The sequence below is a fragment of the Homo sapiens genome, chromosome 3 (assembly GCF_000001405.40).
Source record: "Homo sapiens chromosome 3, GRCh38.p14 Primary Assembly".
In the NCBI taxonomy this organism is placed as follows: Eukaryota; Metazoa; Chordata; class Mammalia; order Primates; family Hominidae; genus Homo; species Homo sapiens.
In genome coordinates, this window is record NC_000003.12 from 17,012,691 (window position 1) to 17,032,038 (window position 19,348).

Genomic DNA, 19,348 nt, shown 5'->3' on the forward strand with positions numbered 1-19,348 from the left:
CTGTATTTATTAGAAGTTTAAGATAATAATTACCTCTGAAATATATAATGGCTAAAAGCAGTCAGTTAGGAATTACATATTTAATTAAGGATCGCCCACACATCTAGCCATACGCTAGGACCCCTGAGTGACACAGAGCTAGACAGCAAGGGCCTGCCTCATGCAGACAGCAGCCCTAACCTGTCATAGTGTGTGAGAAGTGGTGTGTGTGTGATAAGTGCTCCATGTCTGTTTATTTTGTATTTTAAAAATTATATTTTAAAATGACCAATGAGAATGATGCCAACAAATAAAATCTGACTGAGAAAATTCAACGTTTTTTCCCTATCAACTAATTCTATGTGTACTTCGTGAATAAAAGACCTTCCCACAATAAGGAAATTTGTTTTCTTTCTCTTAAAGTAAAAGCATAACAGACATATGAAGGGCTTTTCCCTGTTTTTGAGGGTGAAAGTGGTTTGGTAAACCCTCAGCTCTGAGCAAGCGCATTGTCCACTGCCCAGTGGCTGCTGTGGTGTGTGTGACACAGAATTCCTTTGAGGATTTGTCAGAGCTCAAGCATTGTCTTTTCCAAAGCCTCATCTGCACTGAACCTGACAAAGCAGTCGGTAGTGATACTGAATGAGCACCTGCCATGCACAAGCAATCTAGGCCATGAAGATGCAGTGGTGAACAAACAGATTGACTGCCTGCCTTTAAGGGGCTTGCATGCTAGTTGGGGGCAGGCAGTGGGAAGGGGAAACAGACAGGAGGCAGGCAGATAAACAAATAGAACAACTGCAGGTATGAGTAAGTGGTGTAATAAGAGTGACTGGGGAACTGCACTTTAAATATCACAGTCATGATTGATTTCTGTAACTGTCAATATCAAAGTGATTTGAGCCAATGATCTATAGTTTGATGTCCATATTTAAAGCAATATTAATAAAAATGAAATGTTTAAATTTAAAACTAAAGTGTTCATTCCCAAGAACCTGCATTATTTGAGAGCAGAAGGCACAGGCCTGCAGGGCCTAGGTCCACCCCCTCTGCCCGCATGCCCGGCCTAGACCAGGACCCAAGTGTGCCTGAAATAGCCCACCTGACTCTTATTATGATTATAATTGGCCTGTTATTACTCACGGTGACTCAAAGCATGGGCCTTAACATCAGCAGCTTTCAGGTAAAATCTTGACTCCTTCACTTACTAGCTGTGTGACGCTAGACAAACAGAGAAGGATTATAGCTAAGGCTCAGTCTTCTCATCCATAACATGGCTTGCTGTGTGGATTAAATGGAAGTAATGTGTAATAAATATGCCTAGTATGGCTTAGCACTTAGTAAGTGTTCATAGAAGGCCAGCTCATGGCATTTTATAGTGTTGAAGGTTTTTCTTTAATGGGTATTTAAATGGCATATCTCTGGTGATTAGAAAAAAGAGAGAGAGAGGCATTGGGATCAGCAGTGACACTAATAGGGGAAGGTCACAGGTAACCAAGGTCCCTGCTGGGCAGACTCAACAGAGAACAGTAGCATCCTCAAAGGTTCTTTAGATTTTGAGCCAGCAGGCATAAATAGATGAGAGATTCAGGTTTCTACCTTGCAAATATTTCTTTCCCTTTTGTATGGCTGGCATATTTGATACTTATTTTAAATCTGATTTGATTTTTTTTTCTCCTAAATCTTTACCCTCTTTGAATGCAGAAGCTATTCGCTCTGTTTGCTCATAGTTGCATATCCGCATCAGCACTACTATGAACTTTGGGCTGAAAAGAAGCCTTGCCCTTCAGAAGAATTTGACTTATTTGCATTTTCAGTACTTTTGATAAATTGGTGTTACAAATGTCCATAACAGCATTTACTTTGGATGACAGCCATTTTTCCCAGGATAAAACAATCATTAGCCAATTCTGTTATAACACTGTTAATAACTTTTGTACCAGGTGGTTCAAGCATAATCAGATATATCAAATATAATATCCATGAGAAAGTAAAACCCCCAGTTAATTACAAATGCTCCTTTCATTCCATTTAACAGAATGCGGTGGTGTCATTCAAGGAGCTGTGTGGCCTCTCCTCTGTGGCCAATCTCATGCAGTGCATGTTGGCGGTGTCTCCCCGCTTTCTGGGGCCCGATAACACACCCCTAGTGGTCCTAAATCTCAGCGAGCAGTACCCCACAATGGAGCTGCAGGGAATTGTGCCGGAGGTTCTGAAGAAGATCGTAACAACTTATGACATGGTGAGTTGTCCTTTGTCCGTTTACATAGCCTGGGTGAGAGAGATATCCTAAGACAACACAGCAGACATACTTTGGAGCTTTTGCTGAAGTGCACTTTCCTATTTCATGCTTCATTCACCTATGCTGGAGAAGTAATTCCCCTGACCTTGCTGTATTTGAAAGAGATTAGTGTTTTGTTGTTTTTGAAAGCAGAATTCAGAGACACTCACCTCAGTTGGATTAAACATTAGTTAGCTTCTCAGCTATATCTGAATTGATTTTTAAAGGATGCACTATTTTCCACACAGATGTAGGAACGAGTTTTTAAAAATCTTCTCCTGCAGCCAGTCATTGATTATTTGTTTTCATTTTATTTTCATTTTTTCAACTGGTAAAGGCAAGAAATTTAACTTAAAAATGTAATGCCATGAGGGACAGGTGCCTGTATCACATGACTCTGCACTAGGCTATGGTTTCCCTTCTTACAGGAGCTGCTCTGTGATACTTGTATTTGTAATGAGCTTAACACTAATGGGGTATCCTCAGGACACCTAGAATATTACATTTTTCTACTTAAGATTTACCTTGCATTTTCTTAATCACATCCTGCTCTTACTGTAATTTTTTTATTTATCATAACTCTAAGAGAGAATTTATTGGGTGAAGGACACCCATTTCAAGTGTATGATGTAGTTGAAGCTGTCATTGACTCTTCAACCTATCAGGGTTAAGGGTTGGTGTTGGACACTCCCCTCCCAGATGGGCCAGTCTGTCTTCAGTACTATTTAGAGTACTTGGGGGTGAGTACCTCATCTGCTACCTCCTCCACTCCAAAAGCACAAGCTAAGACCACGAAACTCTAGGTTTCTTCTGATGTAGCTTGCTGTGCTCAAGGACAAAACAGGATCGGCATCATAAACCTAAACAGAAATATTTTTGACTGTTTCATAAGTTGTCTGAAAGCTGTAATTTAGAGGGATTTATGCAATTCAAGGGAAAGAAAAAAGACGTTGGGCCAGCACTTCTCAATTGTGACTACTTCGTAGGTTTCTTAGGATGTTAGTAAATATCACATAGGGGAAGGGTTTCATAGGATGTTAGTAAATATCACATGGGGGGAAAGTTCCTTGACTAAATAATTTTGGGAAATACTAGTTTGAACAAAAGTAATCAGATATCTTTACTGCAGGATTTCTTAGAACCTTTTATTTGCTATCACCATGAGTTCCAAGATAGTGATAGAGTATTTCCAGTTTCACAAATTGACTTGACCATTGGAATACTATTTCTAAAAACAAAGATTCTAGAGAATATATTTTGGAAAATCCTTCTTCAGTCTTTGGATGAATAAGTCTAGAAGTACAAGTCAGAAGAATGCAGTGTTTTAAACAGCTTATGAGTTCATTACCTTAAAAAAAGTGATATTTGTGCATTTTGTAGATTCCTATGAAGTAGTCACACATTGTAGTGGGGGCTGTTTCCTTCTTAGCATTCATGGTAACCTTAAGAGACACCAGGAACTGAATATTGGACACTGCAAGCAAACTACATAGAGTGGCACCCTCCTGCAGAGAGGAGGGAGGCCAGGGTCAGGTGTCTGATGAGCCTCAGGTGCTGAGTGCCACTGTGCTGAGTGCCAAAGGGGTCCACAAAGACTCATATGAACAGCCCCATCCTCGGGGAGCCATCAAGTCCACCAGGAGAGAAAGTGAGGCTGGGGACCAACATCAACACAGGAAGCATGCTGAGATTCCTTTGGTGGGGAAATAGAAGAAGGGGTAAAAATGGAAAAGTCTGAAGATCTTTTACATGCTATGAACCAGACTGCCTAAATAGTTCTTGACTTAAGTTTTATGAGATGAAGCCAAAAAAGTATCTGATATTTATAAACGCTTTTTAAGCATAAGCCACAAATAAAATCACATACCTGTTTCATTGACCAAAATCTAATATGATTTACCCCCTAAGACATTTGCTTGATTTCTATGACAGTCATACAGTGACATTTCTTCATGGCGAGCTTTTTAACAGGGACTTCTTGAGGGTGGGGTGGTAGTACCCCGTGGAGGTGATAACAGCATAACAGGGCAGGCCAAGTTCAGGGGCTGATTTCTGCTCTATCAAGAGTGTGTGATCATAGCTGGTTTCTCATGGTCTATGTTAAAAATCCTCATGGCCACCAGCAACCTTTATGGCACTCATAGCAATATTCGGCTCAGGAATGGCTCATTGCTCCTTGGTTCCCTGCCTCTTCCTCTTGGATTGGTAGATGCTAGCTCTTAATATGTAACTCTTATTTGCGTCTAACTGTATCATTATGTTGTTATAGATTTGGCAAGACAGAATATGCTAGCTTGCTTAAAATTTTTAAATTATAAAATTACTCTTTTATAATGTATAATTGAAATAGCTGTGCAGCCTTATACTGCCTAATTTATCGATATGTTCTGTTAATTCCATCTGATAAAATAAGCTAATAAAATATTTAAAATTAAATTTAAATTATGGCTGCAGCAATATTATAACTCTTGTAATATTTTGCAGTTCTTTTTAGTGACTTAATGGTTTCTTACCTTGTGACAATTTATTAAAGCTAGCCAGAATAGATTAAATATTGATGGGAAATGTACTAAAGGTCTCGGACAGCCCGTAACTCTAAATATAGCTCTTTATTTTTGTAATGTTATGTTGAGCTTGCCCCAAAATTAACCTTAGAAATAAGATCTTATTTCATTCTGTTGACTTCCCATGTATAATGTATGGAGGCGAATGAGAAGTAAAGGCAAGTTGAGAAACTCCTCCAGAACTCCTGTGTCATGGCCAGTCTACATGCCTAAAGTGTGTCTTCCTGTGAGGACAGTGCCATGGTACCTCCTAAAATGTACAGATGTGTATTTATGCTATCAAGATTGTGATTACTTTTCAATATCTAGACTGTATTAATAAAATAGTATTTCAGAAGTGTGCTAGTTTCTTTGTGAAAACGGAGAATGCAGATCGTTGTCCTAATGGCTGCCGTGATTACTACCAACAAACAGGCCTTGAAAACTGCCAGAATTGTGCTTTTACAGGACTTGTGGTGCTCTCGTGGCTCCTGTGGTGGGGTGAGCCTGGGACCTAGCTCAAGAAGACAGGTATCAGAGCCATTCAGGAGTGGAGAAGAAGAGAAATTCACACACCTCCTTAGACTAGGCAGATTAAGGGAGTTTTAGTAGGAACTGGACTGGGATGGAAAGTGGGAATGACCCTATTAGCAGTGCTGGAGTCAGAGACATGAGTGTGGGATAGAAGGCACCTGCTGAACTTGTGCCTGGAGGCCTGGGGCACACAGATGACCCTTCTTCCTCCCAATGGTGAGCAAGGGCCCTAGAGTCCTCTCCTGCTAGAACCTAGAGCACAAAAGCTGCACATAGCAACCCTAGGTAGGGAAATTGTAGCAGGGCTGGAAGGGGGCCTCATGCAAATGGAGGCTTACAGGGCATTTAAATGAGGCGTCTTTGTCCCCTTAAGCTCAGTGTCCTTAAGTACTTCATCCCATGATTTTGGGGCTCAACCTGTGAGGGCTCATCTTCCTCCAGTCAGCTTGTCCTCTCTGCCTCTCTTAATGGAAGTGACCCTTGAGTCCCTTTTTTCATACCTATCTACTTTTTTTCAACAGATGGGGCCTGGGCTCCATTATTAAGCCATGTGGTTGGGCTTTTGCCCACAACCCCTTATTTATTGCATTGGACAGCATACATGATTATATCATACATCATGACCATAAAGTCAGAGGGTCAAACTTTTGAACCAAATAATTGATTTGCTTTAAAGATGTCACGTTTGGTTGTTTTGAAGTGGCATATAATAGAAATTTAATTGGTTTATTTCAATAAAACAGATACAAAATAAGTTACTGTATTTTTGGTGATGAATTCAACACCCATTTATAAGCTCTTAGCACGTGCACTGCTCACTCATCAACAGCAAGTATTTATTGAGTGCCTACTGTGTACCAGTGACTATTGTAGGCAACATGAGGTAATATAAAGATGAAAAAGACTTTTTTTTTCCTTTGAGGAGCTTATAATTTAGTTGAAGAGATGCTGCAGTATGTTTATAGATAACTGATAAGATGATAGACAATAGATAGTAAATAGATATTTTAAAATATATAAATGAATTATTTGAATCTTCAAAGGAGAGAATGGTTAGTTTCAGGTTCAGAGATTAGGAAGACTTCAGTGAAACATCGGCCTTGAACTAGACCTGTAAGAATGAGTTGGAATTCAACTGGTAAAGAGGAGGCTATTGCAAGATGAGTTCGTAGGGTGAAACATGCTCACAGGTGAAATATGCTCAAGCACATATTCTGGGAAATCCAGGCTTGGACTGTAACAAATAGTAGGGAGTCCTTGCACATTTTTGAGCAAAGGGCTATGCTCAGAATTAGGCATTATGGACTCTGGGAGGCTTGGAGTGAAATAGAACTCAGAGACCACCTATTGAGCACCTTTATTTTGCACGTGAGAAAATGGAAACCCTGTAGCACAACAAATTAATGGCAGAACCGGGGTTGGCACCCAAGTGGTATCTCTGTCCAATTTTTTTCTGCAATCCAGATCAGAAAAATTAACTGTATAGAATGTGTAGATGAATGATCAATGTAGCAATAAAGCCCAAGTAACTGTAATAATAATAATATACAGTTATTCATGTGGGGCTCTTGAAGTCACAGGCACCTTATTTTTTGTTCTTGTGCCCCATAAAGATAGAAAATTCTTCATTTTGCATTTTCACATATATTAAAAGGCAGATTTAATGCACTTAAAATAAAGAAAACTGTAATCAGTAGATCAAATCCCACTCAAAGAAATGCAATCATAAATGTCTGAACACATTGTTTATAATTTCAGAAAACAAAAGTTTATTTTACTTAAAATATATATAAATGAGCTTGAATACACCCACTATTGACAATCAAGATCAAGATTGAGCTTGTTCGCTCATGTAATTAAGGGCTGGTAAGAGAAAATAAGGAATATGTAACCTGAGTTTAAGAGATTCTAGGGAATATCTGGATACTCTTCATAGTACACAGTGTTTTTAAGAATGGATTTGCACTGGCATTTCGGTGCATCTCCTCTCCCCCATCAATGTAAGTGATCTAATTCATCATCTTTTTAAACTGAAGTGACTTTTACTATTCTTTTTATGTTGAGAGTGATAATTCCATTCTCTAGCTATCTTTATTAGATGCAGATTTACCACCTGTTTTAAACTTGAATGTTTAAAATTGTTATGAGACCTGTACTAACATATAGAGACCAAGGAGTCAACATTCTTCCTCTATAGAGAGAAAACATTGAAAATTTAAATATTTTGTGACGTATTACATAAAAAGTAAGTTCTTTTCTAAAGTTTTTTGTTAATTTTGCTGCAGTTTTTCTGTCATGGACTATGCTTTAGTCATTGTAATTAAATTGAAGTTGTAGAGAGGAAAAAGGAGAGAAGAGGAAAAAAATAAAGAAAATGAAGCCCATCTCTCTCTTACAGGCAGTACGGTGGTTCACATACACAGCAAATGGGCAGCCCCACCTGTTCAGAGATTATACGTGAATTCATTCTTGTCATTGCAGTTCCATTCTCTGTACTTTCCCTTTGAAATTAATTTTTTCAGTCATTTTTTTTTGCAACTTCACAAAAGTCTTGATTTTAATTGCCTTCAGGTTTAATTAAGAAAGCATACTCTGAGGAATCCATTTCCCCAGTAGAAAATAGTACTTTTTAAAGGGAAGAACAAGATGCTTTGTCTGGGAGGATATTATTTGCTCTCTCTGAGTGTTTTTATTTAAGTTGCTGAGTAGTCTCTTCTAACACATGACTTTAAATATTTCTTAAATAAAACAAGGTTATTTAAATAAAATATGTGAAATGAAGGTTTTTTTCCTTACACAGAAATGTTGGCAGTTGACATGCAGCATCATGAACATTCTGGGTTAAGTTGTTGGTATGGTGTCATATACTTTTTCTTGTTACTTCTTAATTCAGTGAAGAGATAAATCACACTTCATAATTAATGGAGTCTGCTGGTTTGGACCAAGCCAGAGATGATCTGTAATAAGGTTACTATTGATCCCCATCTCCTTTGTGGCTTCTTTTATCACTCTCCTGCCTCAGTCATTAAAAGCTTCTTTTAATTAGAGTTGTCGACACTACCAACTTTTATAACTGTAGAAAAAAGACCAGATGGAATATTGTGCTTTGGGATAAGAATAAGCTAAAAATGAATGAAAGAAGGAAGGGAGGGTGGAAGGGAGTTTTGGGAAAGGTAGATGCATCCTACAGAGTGATGATTTGAAACCCAAAGGCTGTTGTTTAATCTGATGACTGGAGAGGTCCAGCCAATGTTTCCAAAATCAGTTTCTCTGAAATCATCAAAACCATTGATGAGCCATTTTGTAATGGTTCAAGTTACCAAGCCAGTGGAAGTGAAAATAAATGTTTAAACGATACAGTGTGCTGGTAACATCACATGTATTATCAGATGAGAAGTACCAGGCCACCACACAGTGATCGGGAGCTGGGAGATTGAGAAACCTTTGGGAGATTGTGCTTCAAGCATGTAAGTGGTGGTAATTGTAAGATTTTCCTTCTGATCCAGTTTTCTAGCTTAACATGTCTCCACAGAAACCACTGAGGAACACATATTCTTAAAGTATTCTTACACACACACACACACACACACACACACACACACACCCCAGATACTAAGCAAGGAACAGTTGAGGAAAGAGTAGCACTTTAGGGGATGGCAGTCTGCTTGAAAGAGACTTAATCACATAGCATCACAGAGCAGCTTTTATCCATTAAGTTGGATATCCATCTCTAAACTCTCTGGGAGGATGACTTTAATAGATTTCAACATGTTGTCAGATGATGTCCTCAGACAAGAAATGATAAATGCTATTAAGCAAGCTACTATGTCATCTGACATACTAACAGTCTGATTTAAAATTGCAAAGTAAGCAAGGAAACAAGAGCTGGGGTGCCATCCAGCCCTATTGGTGAATGAGAAATGGGACCCGGCTGTTAGCATCACTTCAGTTCCTGGGTAGATTTCATTTGAGCCATCACCACCTAGAGAACTGTTAGGGGGCAGTGGTTTAGGGCCATGTATTTGATAGGGTCTCCATGGTTTTACTTTTCTGTTTAGAGCATTTTTATTGTTTTTTAAAGGGGCAAAGGCAGATTGCTAATTTTTCAAACACTTTAGTTCCCTGAATCTGGTAGAAAATATGAATATATCTGAAACCCAAAGCTCAAGAAAAGTTAGGGAACTTCTTTGTAAACCTATGCTTTACGCAAAAGAATACTACTACATTTTTTATAAAACTAAGATATTCGAAGTACTGTAGTCTTTTTTCTTCCTATGCAAAAGTAGAGGAGTTACTTCCTATGTTCCCATCAAATTCCACATCGAATATTGGATTTTGCTCCTGTATAATTTCTTCAAGGCTTATTTTTGATACTTTTTCGATAGTTTCTCTGTGTTTCTGCAGTGGCTGAAGGTGCCTCCTAAGTTCTTTGCTAAGTTCTTCTCTCTGTCAAGGACCCTTACAGGAAATTTAAAAAAAAGAAAGAAAGAAAGAAAAGGATTTTATGTATCTTTAAAATTCTGTTAGTGCTCTGGAGATAATATACACAGTTCTTTTGGTCAACTGGCAGTTTCCAAAGCTGCGAGGAAGCACTTAGCTTCCTTATCCCCATTTATTCAGTAAACTTTTTGTCATTACTAGACTTTGAATAAATAAACTTTAATTGAGTGGAGGAGGCAATGCTGGCTGACTTCTCATTTCTGTGGCCCTAATTCTAGTTGAGCCTTTAATCACCTTATGCTGTATGGCAGAGTTTGAGTTCAAGCTTCATACTCATCCCAGGTGAAAAAGAAAATGTAACTTTCTTACCTCTCTTATGAGGGAGGTAGATGTCCCTGGATTTTAATTCTGTTGGTAAACTTCATCTATTGCATTCATTACGTTATTCGTTTTGGACTGTAAATGCTAAGCTCTTTAGGTAAAATGCTCAGTCTCTCTGACTTTCTCTCTTTCCCCCTCTTCCTTCACAAAGTGGCCAGTGGTTGCTTGGAGAGGGTGTGGTTGCAAACCCTTCTTTTTGTGTTCTTGGCAAAGAATGTCTAAACATCTAAAGCCACCATCCTCTCCTCCACTTTCTATTCACCTCGAGGTGGGTACATAGTGGGGGGATTTCCCAGCTCCAACATGAGTCACTCAATACTGCAAGAGGCGTTATTTCCTCCTCTCTGTTCTCTCGTCAAGAAAGCTGCAAGAGCCAGCTCCTTTCCTCCTGCCTCAGAGCTGCAATTCCCTTGGCTCAACCTTTGTATTTGGAAGGAAGTCTCCTCCACCTTAGGGGATAACACTCTGTGATCTACGGGTTGTTTCCCCATGATATGGTTTGGCTGTGTCCCCACCCAAATCTCAACTTGAATTGTATCTCCCAGAATTCCCCCGTGTTGTGGGAGGGACCCAGGGGGAGGTAGTTGAATCATGGGGGCCAGTCTTTCCTGTGCTATTCTTGTGATAGTGAATAAGTCTCATGAAACCTGATGGGTTTATCAGGGATTTCCACTTTGCTTCTTTCTTATTCTCTCTTGCCACCACCATGTAAGAAATGCCTTTCACCTTCTGCCATGATTGTGAGACCTCCCCAGCCATGTGGAACTGTAAGTCATATTAATCCTCCTTTTATTCCCAGTCTCGGGTATGTCTTTATCAGCAGCATGAAAACAGACTAATACACTCGATATGTTGAAATAATTTAGAACATAGTTTGATAAATCCTGATTTTCAAGTCTATCATTTTGGTGGGAACCTGAGCAAAAATCTAATTTGACCTTTAAAACTGACAAATGTCTCTGTGTTCATAAGATAGTTGCTCCTCATCCAAGCTCTGAAACTTGTCCTTTGAATAGGTGGAAAGCTCCAGGGAAAACATGATTCATTAACTATGGCAGCATCTGTGAAAAGAAATAACTTATTGACACCATCCCCATCACACTTGTGAGACTGTTGAAGCCACCCAGCCTGCAGCCTTTCCCTCTCTGCTGCAGTTCATCCTCTGGTTTGCCTTAAAGACATTCTTCCTGAAATATCTCCCAGAGAAAGGCCTAGGTATTTCTGGGAGGGTCCAAGAGGTAGAGTTAGAAGTATGATGTGATAACTTTAAGAACTAAGCCAGCTGGAAGGATTATATTGTGATCATCAAGAACAGTGGAGCCAAATTGCTCTGTTACCTTGACTATTTTTGTTAGGTGAATAACATTTTTTCGTAGAGCATCCTGGAAAAGTGGCATCCCTTTGGTGTGTTGAGATTGATGAAGAATTTGAGTTAAGCCTAATAATTGCCAAGAGAGAGAAAAAGGAGGGTGAAGTGTGAGAGGAATATCTTTAAGAACATACACTTCATGTCTATTTTCTTCTAGCAATTGAATCTTTCCAGCATCAAGATTTTTTATTTACTGTTGAAACGTGCATCAAACACTACTGGCAATAGTATAAAGCCCTTTTTAAAAAAAGTTTTTATAGCATCTAGGATCTGTGCAGTATCTTAAATTGTGTAATTATTTTTGTAGTATGCACAGAATAGTATTGTCTCTACATTCAGTTTTGTGGATTGTGATTGTCCTCTTTGTGGAAATTCAAACAGAAAAGCAATGATCAAAGAAACAAAGAGCTTAATTGGCTTTCCATGTGTGGTAATTTGTATGTCTTTATGCAGTTTGTGAGTTCCAAATCTTTTCAGATTGACGAAAATGAAGACTAGCTGACCTAGAACATGTGACTCATAGCTCATTAATGCATTCAGCCTCCTTCTCCCTTTGAGCTGGGAGCCTCCTGCTCCCTATTACTTGGGACCCAGAGGAGACCCATGTTGCTCCTTGATCCTTCAATCTGTGCTGTGGGCACAGAGGCGGCTGTGCCAGCTTGTGCTGGCTACTTTGAAAGAAAAACAGATGTGTTCATCTTCATCCATATGTTTATGGAGACTAGTGATAGAAACCTGGGCGCTTCATGAGTGTGGGCCCCGTTTGAAACCCCAAGTACTCCTTGAGCCACACCCTATTGGAGGGCACGGGATATACACCTTTACTGTTGAATTTAATTAGTTGTCCTAATGGTGGCAACTTCTGACCAGGTAGGATGATGTGAAGCCTGTCGTGGTTGTTCACTGCACCTGTGAATGAAGATGGAACATATTCAGGTTAGAGTTTAGAAAGTGTGTAAAGTTGCAGTGATAATATAATTTTATTGTTTAGAATCCTTATGTTCTTGATATCCTTCCTTGGCTCTATAAATGCAAGATCCATTCTTCAGGAATTAATTCAATCTATTGCCACCCATTCTTATGTAGTTTAGAGAGGTATATACTTTTTTATGGAGAAATTTGTCAGTGTTACATGTCCAGTGGAGTTGAGTTGGGAAGACTGAAGTTATATCAGTCACTTCAATCAAATTGTTAGTGGTGAGACATGGGTTTGTTTGTAAGTGCCATGATGAGCTGCTCTATATTTGTGGACATGAGCTTTTGGGATGTACAATCACATTTTATAAGAAAAAATGGAATAATTTGGATGGAATATACTTTATAAAATGAAGCTATTGAAATAACCAGTTTATATGAGAAATCAGATATTTCAGAATTGTTTTGTAAATGTGATTGTTGACACCTACTTGGGCCACCTTCTGGCAGTAAGGTGTGCTAATTTCTGACCCTTTTTTCTGTCTGTTATGTCCCTGGTCATGAGCTGGAAAAAAATTCTAAGGTGTTTCTTCACAACCTTCTGAATAATGAGGTAATGATTTTTCTCCACAGCTGATGTATTTCTATAAATAAAGTTTGACATTTCATAAGCTTTGAAGCTCATATTTTGTTGTTACGTTACATTTGACCTCATGTTCATAAGAGATACAATTCAGCATTGCCTCTCATTTTCACATGAGTGGGAAGACTCACCGTCACCCTCACCAAACCTCTCAGAGCAGCGCACGTGTCTGGAGGGTGAGTCCCTTCTGCACAGTAACTGCTCTGTCAGTGGGGACTGTGGGAACTGTCACTCGTTAGTTTATTTAACAGCTCCTGTTTTTCATTCTCTTCACTTCTATTCCCCCAGATTGCTGTGAAATAATTAATGCCACTCACCCCACCAAAATAACCACTTTTAATACCAGTAAGCTGATTTTACTACCAGACGAATTTATCAGGAATAAAAATAGCATTTAATAATGGTTTTAAGCCTTTTCTAACTTAATTAGGGCATTTAAAATTCTGAGCCATAAGAAAATTACTCTCACACAGTGGGTAGACAACATGATGTGTTAAGAGTCAAGTTTAACTCTACAAGCTTAATTACCAATTAGCTGAAAACTAACATGTTAAGGAGTTTAAAACATTTGTTTCCCTACCACATTAGTATTAGTCAGATGTTTAGGGCTAAATGTTAGGGATTTTTATATGGAGATTTTATGTGAGATTATTCATCTACCTACAGAAATATTTAATTCAGATATTTTCTTTGAAATCAATGTTGATCATTCTAGTTTTCTTTGTAGTTATATTCTGACACTGGACAGACATCAGATGGGGCCATACCATCATTTATGTAATTCTGCGGCATGAAATAACTTTAGCTTTTAAATCACTTATCTGGGACAGATTACTCATGCTGTAATCCCAGCACTTTGGGAGGCCGAGGCAGACTTAATCTAGGAGTTTGAGACCAGCCTGGCCGACATGGTGAAACCCCATCTCTACTAAAATTCACAAATTAGCCAGGCATGATGGTGCATGCCTTTAGTCCCAGCTGCTCAGGAGGCTGAGGTGGGAGGATCACTTGAACCCAGGAGGCAGAGGTTGCAGTGAGCTGAGATCACACCACTACACTCCAGTCTGGGTGACAGACTGAGACCCTGTCTCAAAAAATAAATAAATAAATAGATCGTTTATCTTGTATTAGAAAAAAAAACAAAACAAAATAAATTCTATCTTTGTGAATAGAAACAGCTATTTCATTATTTAGCTAAATATAACTGGGATGGTACGAATTTTAAGCTGTTTTCCTAAAACTAAGCCCTGTCTTTATTGTTAAACGTTAGAATTCTCCATAGCCAAAATTTTTTGTCCAACATATATCGTAATATGTGTTTATTCTTTTAAAATACCAACTACACTTGATTTTTCATGTTCTTTCCTAAAAAGTGCATGTCGCATATCAAACTATATTATCTCAAGTACTTTGAGTCCAGTTTTACCAAGTGATGCATCATGTAACATTTTAGAGGAGGAGCTGAGAAACACATGTTTCTGTATAGTCTGAAAGCTGAGAATGGTTTTTACATTTTTAATTTATTGGAAAAATAAAAAATAATATCTTGTGATATGAAAGTCATATGAACTTCAAATTTTGCTCTCCATAAATGAAGTGTTTTTGGAGAACAACCACCTCCATTAAATACTATCAATGACTGCTTTCTCACTACAGTGGCAAAGTTGAGTAGGGTAGTTGCGACAGAAACTAAGCCTAAGCCTAGCAGCCTACAATGTTTACTGTCTGGCTCTGTACAGAACAAATTTGCCAACACTTCCAAAAGTGGATTGGGTAAAAGTCCTTAGGGTATTTTGATACAGTGATTTTCAAAGTCACCTTTGCCAACCTAAATTATGACTTTCTCTTTCTTTCTTTTCTCTTTTTCCTTTCTTTCTTTTCTTCCTTCCTTTCCTTTAAAATGTACTCACTGCATTTTGAGTTTTGATACATAAGAATGGGATTCTAATCGTTAACCTGGAGGAAGGAGGAGACTGTTATCGTTGCCTGAGCACTCCTCTGCTGGAAAAAGCAATGAGCCTGAATATGGTTCTACTAATTGTTACGGTCAGAAACCTAAAGAAACAAGAGGTGGAAACTAAAAGAGGAAAAAGCCAGTGGAAATTAACGTTTGCTCTGATTTTAATAGCGCCCGTGAGGCAAGCATGCTACGTCAGTGGGAAGTGGTGACAATCCACCTGAGCTGTGTGCTATAACTCAATAACATTTGTAACTAATTTAACCTCACATATATTTAGTGTTTATGTATAACCATGGTTGTGCTGCTTGGTAATGAGGCATTAAAAATGAGCCAGTCCAAGAATTGAGTTTAAATAGTACTCCTTCTCTCAGCCAAATCAAGCATTTCTTGCTGAGGGGCTGAAGGGCTGGGTGGAGAGAAGGGAATTGGGTAGAGTTAGTGAGCAGCTCTGCATCGTCTCTGAAAACCCCTCATTTCCTCTCACCCTTTCCTAAGGCGAGGAGGAGGACTTTCTCTCAAACTGTAAAATCCAGGCTGTGCTAACCACACTCAGTTTAAAGGAAGGGATTATAAAAGTGCTTGAGGTGGAGACTAATCCCATGAAACCCTCTCCCACCTGAGGAATGGGAAAGATGCTCTGAAGCCTCTGGATTCCCACACCTTACTGTTGTTTATGCTATTCACCTCCTTCTTATACTCGTCACAACTTATAATTATACATTCATTAGCTTGATCCTTTTTTTTTTCTTTTTTTTTTTGAGACAGGGTTTCACTCCTGTCACCCAGGCTGGATTGCAGTGACGAACTGTTGACTCACTGCAGCCTCTGCCTCCTGGGCTCAAACAATTCTCCTGCCTCAGCCTCCTGAGTAGTTGGGACTACAGGCACGCACCAGCATGCCCGGCTCATTTTGTTGTTTTGTTTTTTTGCAGAGGTGGGGTTTTGCCATGTTGCTCAGGCTGGTCTTGAACTTCTGAGCTCAAACAATCCACTCACCTCAGCCTCCCAAAGTGCTGGGAATTCCTTTTTTAAAAGTACCTCTCTTCCTCTCCCTGAAATCTGAGCTCCAGGATAACAGGGCCCATGTGTCCTATGCAACATTGCGTTCTCAGCACCGACAGCAGAACCTGGCACACAGCAGGTACTCAAAATCCATTTTTGGTGAATGAATGAAAATAACCTTGATCTCCAGGACACAGATATCAGGTGCCCTTCTTACCCTACATGTCTTTCCCATATGTCCCTGTATTCCCCGAACTTGATTTTTATTTCCATGCACACAAAATGCCTCGGGGAAGGGGGCGCAGAGGGTAGAGTGGCTGCTCTTCCAGTCTTAGGTCTGTATGGAAGCACTTATGTTCTAAGGCAGTGAGGGCTGGCTTTGCTGGTCCAAGAAGAGGAGGATGCCTGAGGTGCTTGGACAACTCCAGATGCTTGTAGGGAGAGAGGGACCAGAGGCAGGAGAGACTGGTCCTGAGAAGGAAGATCTCAGCATCCCAGCTCCTGGATCTTTCACCTCTTGTTCAGACCCTAGATGTCTCCCCAGCTTTTATCAGAGGATCCTTTATCCTATCTGCAATTCCCTCCTTAAAGATTCGTATGCCCTTAAAAAAAAGAAAGAAAGAAAGAAAAAAAAAAACAACTGTATAGAAGAGCTTAGTGCAGAAGAGAGGAGGAGGAAAATGTGAGGGCCCCTAGTTATTCACCTGGCTATGATAGGAGAGAAACCTGGTTCAGTTAAGCTGCCTGAGGTGGGAACATCCCTCATATGTGTACAGTGTTTTATGATTTTTTTCCCAAGCATGCTCATAAATCAATTGTTACATGAGCTAATAGTCAGAGGCTGTGGTGTACAATGATGTTAGCACATGGACTGGGGTCACACCAGAAAAGGGAAGCCTTGGGTAGGGATAGGGTCCGTTTGAGCTGAGCAGAGAAATTCTTGAAAGCCAGAGAGCCACTTTCCCCCAACTGCTACAGGCCCCCACTCTCCAACACCTACTGACCCTGGTGAGTGAGCCAAAACACATCTCCCAGGGAAGAAAGCCTTGGCTCCCCTTCCCCTCAACCACACACAGCATCCACCAGCTCTAGCTCCACCTTGGGAAATCCTTGTCTTCATCCTTATCTCACCTGCCACCATGAGCTGGCTCCCAGGGCAACAGAAGATATTCCCTGGCATGTTTTGCAAAGGACACATCTTAATAAGAACAGTGGTATATTCACAGACCACCCAGGTATGTATGCATGGAGTGTGAACACCTATGCACAAGACTGCACCCTAGGAAGCAGATGAGCCCCTGCTAATGAGCTAGCTCCTGCACTAGTGCTTGCTTGTGTGACTGGGGGCAAGGCTGTTTCTCTCATTTTTTTAAGAAATGGGGTCTCGCTATGTTACCCAGGCTGGTCTTGAACTCCTGGCCTTAAGCGATCCTCCAACCTCAACCTCCTAAAGTGCTGGGATTACAGGTGTGAGCCACTGTGCCCAGCCCAAACCTATTTTTTAAACTCTACAATGGGCATTAGATCACAACCTCAAAGGATTATAAGACTATGTACCTGTAAATAGCCTAGAACATAATAAATACTCAATAAATCATTGTCATTATGATTGTCATTATTAGTTTTCAAAGGCTGGTTGCATATAGCTCCTGAAGCTTGAAGACCTTTGTGTGAGTTTATTTTAACATCACTCCATATTCCAGAGCAGCATTTGTCATGCCCCACTTTGTTATTTATACAGAGCATGATTACTCCATTTCATAAAGTCAGGTTTAAAGTTCAAAATGAAAAGCAAAAGGTAAGTTCTCCCATCATCTTGCTAAGCAAGTTGTCTCTCTGCTCTGAAAGGGGAAGATACCAGAACATGTGAGTTATGTGGTCAACATCAGGAAGAACGCCACACCTGGGTTTATACAGTAAATACTCTAGTAGCTGCTCAGATGCATTCTTCCAGCTCTGTTATTCCTGGAGAACTGTGGACACTCTGCTGTGTTTAAAAAAAGTATTGCTTTTCATTACAGAGAAGTCTTCAATTGCTTTCCTCTTTCAACGAACGTCTATACTTAGTTATCACAGACTTGAGAGAAACTAATGATACTTTACAGTAAGACTATGATTAAATTACCTTCTGTTAATTAGGAGTTTCTAAATCACCTTCATCCCCTTGGAGAAAAGACTTGATGTAAATAGGCAGTAATAAAAGTGGTACTATGTTTAATTCAAATTGTATCCTTTTAAATTTAATTAATTTAGTAATAGTTTTAAATGAGCATGTCAGAACTAAAGGGTCCTTAGTGACTTGAAAGAGTTAACGTAGCATCCAGAAGTTCCTAATGTACTCTTCAGAAGTAGCTTGCTCACTGAATAATTGGGTTTAACCAGCTCAAGTTCCCCTGTCCTCCCACGGGAATGATTCAGAGCAGGTTTTGAACCATTCTCATCAGTTTTTTGGAGACACTACCCTCCATTCAGGATGTAGCGTCTGAACTCACTATCTTTAATGTTTCCAAGACCAAGGGAGAGACAGTGAGGCCATAGGCCCTCTTTCCAGGCACTTACTAGAGAGTAAGCCAGCAAAGTGGCTGTGGACTACATCCTCACTGGACTGCACCTGGCTGCTCACAGTACCTGTTGAAAGTTCCTTCTAAGTTGCTAAATCCCTTCACCTACCCACATCCCTTCCTCCTTTCATGTCTGCAGAGAATACTTGAGCACAAGGCACACATAAATTTCATGCTGTCTGGGATGGGATAAGGATGTCGTGTAAACATATCATTAATGTAGCTTAGAAAAGCTGAAAAGTGGCTGGGAGAGGATGGGGTTTGTGTATGTGTACATCCTTGAGGTGACCATGGTGCAAAGCAATTTATCATGTGCTGTAAAGTAGATTGTTTAATGTGAGACTATTGTATAAGGTTTCCCACAGTAATCATGTACAAAATGATGTATAGCATACCAAGTTCTCCCCTAACAAGACTTCTGGTCATGTAAGGTTGATAATAAACTAGAGAAGTAAAAGGATTATTATCATTTAAATGCATGTGCATGCTCTTCATATAGAAAAGCATAGCATAATAAATTACCACATAAACTGGCAGAAATTATTATATAGCTTTTCTGGATAGTTTTATAATTGCAGCAGAGTTCCTTTGCAGGGTAGTTTAGGTTCTGTTTTGTTGCTCAATTTTCACCTTTTTTTTTTTTTTTTTTTTGCTTTTCCTATGAATATCAAATTGTTCAGGACCAGAAACTACAAGATCAAATTCAAAACTCCTTCCATTTTTTGAAATTCTGTTTATTT

General features: G+C 39.5%; 1 protein-coding gene across 5 annotated transcripts in view, besides 3 other annotated features; it reads left to right on the top strand.

Annotated features, from left to right (window-relative positions):
* PLCL2 (phospholipase C like 2) overlaps positions 1-19,348 on the top strand; it is a 205,652-nt gene that overhangs the window by 127,736 nt on the left and 58,568 nt on the right. For all 5 annotated transcript variants that reach the window (NM_001144382.2, XM_047447799.1, XM_017006025.2 and 2 more), the window contains one exon: positions 2,018-2,221. In NM_001144382.2, coding sequence (NP_001137854.1) covers positions 2,018-2,221 — 204 coding nt within the window. The remainder of the gene's footprint in view (positions 1-2,017; positions 2,222-19,348) is intronic.
* Positions 427-721: a silencer, noted in NCBI's record as "tiled region #1410; HepG2 Repressive non-DNase unmatched - State 24:Quies, and K562 Repressive non-DNase unmatched - State 21:Repr". NCBI's record gives its function as "represses a minimal TATA promoter and a strong SV40 promoter by Sharpr-MPRA in HepG2 and K562 cells {active_cell/tissue: HepG2 | K562}" and the evidence as "EXISTENCE:reporter gene assay evidence [ECO:0000049][PMID:27701403]".
* Positions 10,340-10,559: an enhancer, noted in NCBI's record as "active region_19560". NCBI's record gives its function as "activates an Ori minimal core promoter by ATAC-STARR-seq in GM12878 lymphoblastoid cells {active_cell/tissue: GM12878}" and the evidence as "EXISTENCE:reporter gene assay evidence [ECO:0000049][PMID:35858748]".
* Positions 10,630-10,709: an enhancer, noted in NCBI's record as "active region_19561". NCBI's record gives its function as "activates an Ori minimal core promoter by ATAC-STARR-seq in GM12878 lymphoblastoid cells {active_cell/tissue: GM12878}" and the evidence as "EXISTENCE:reporter gene assay evidence [ECO:0000049][PMID:35858748]".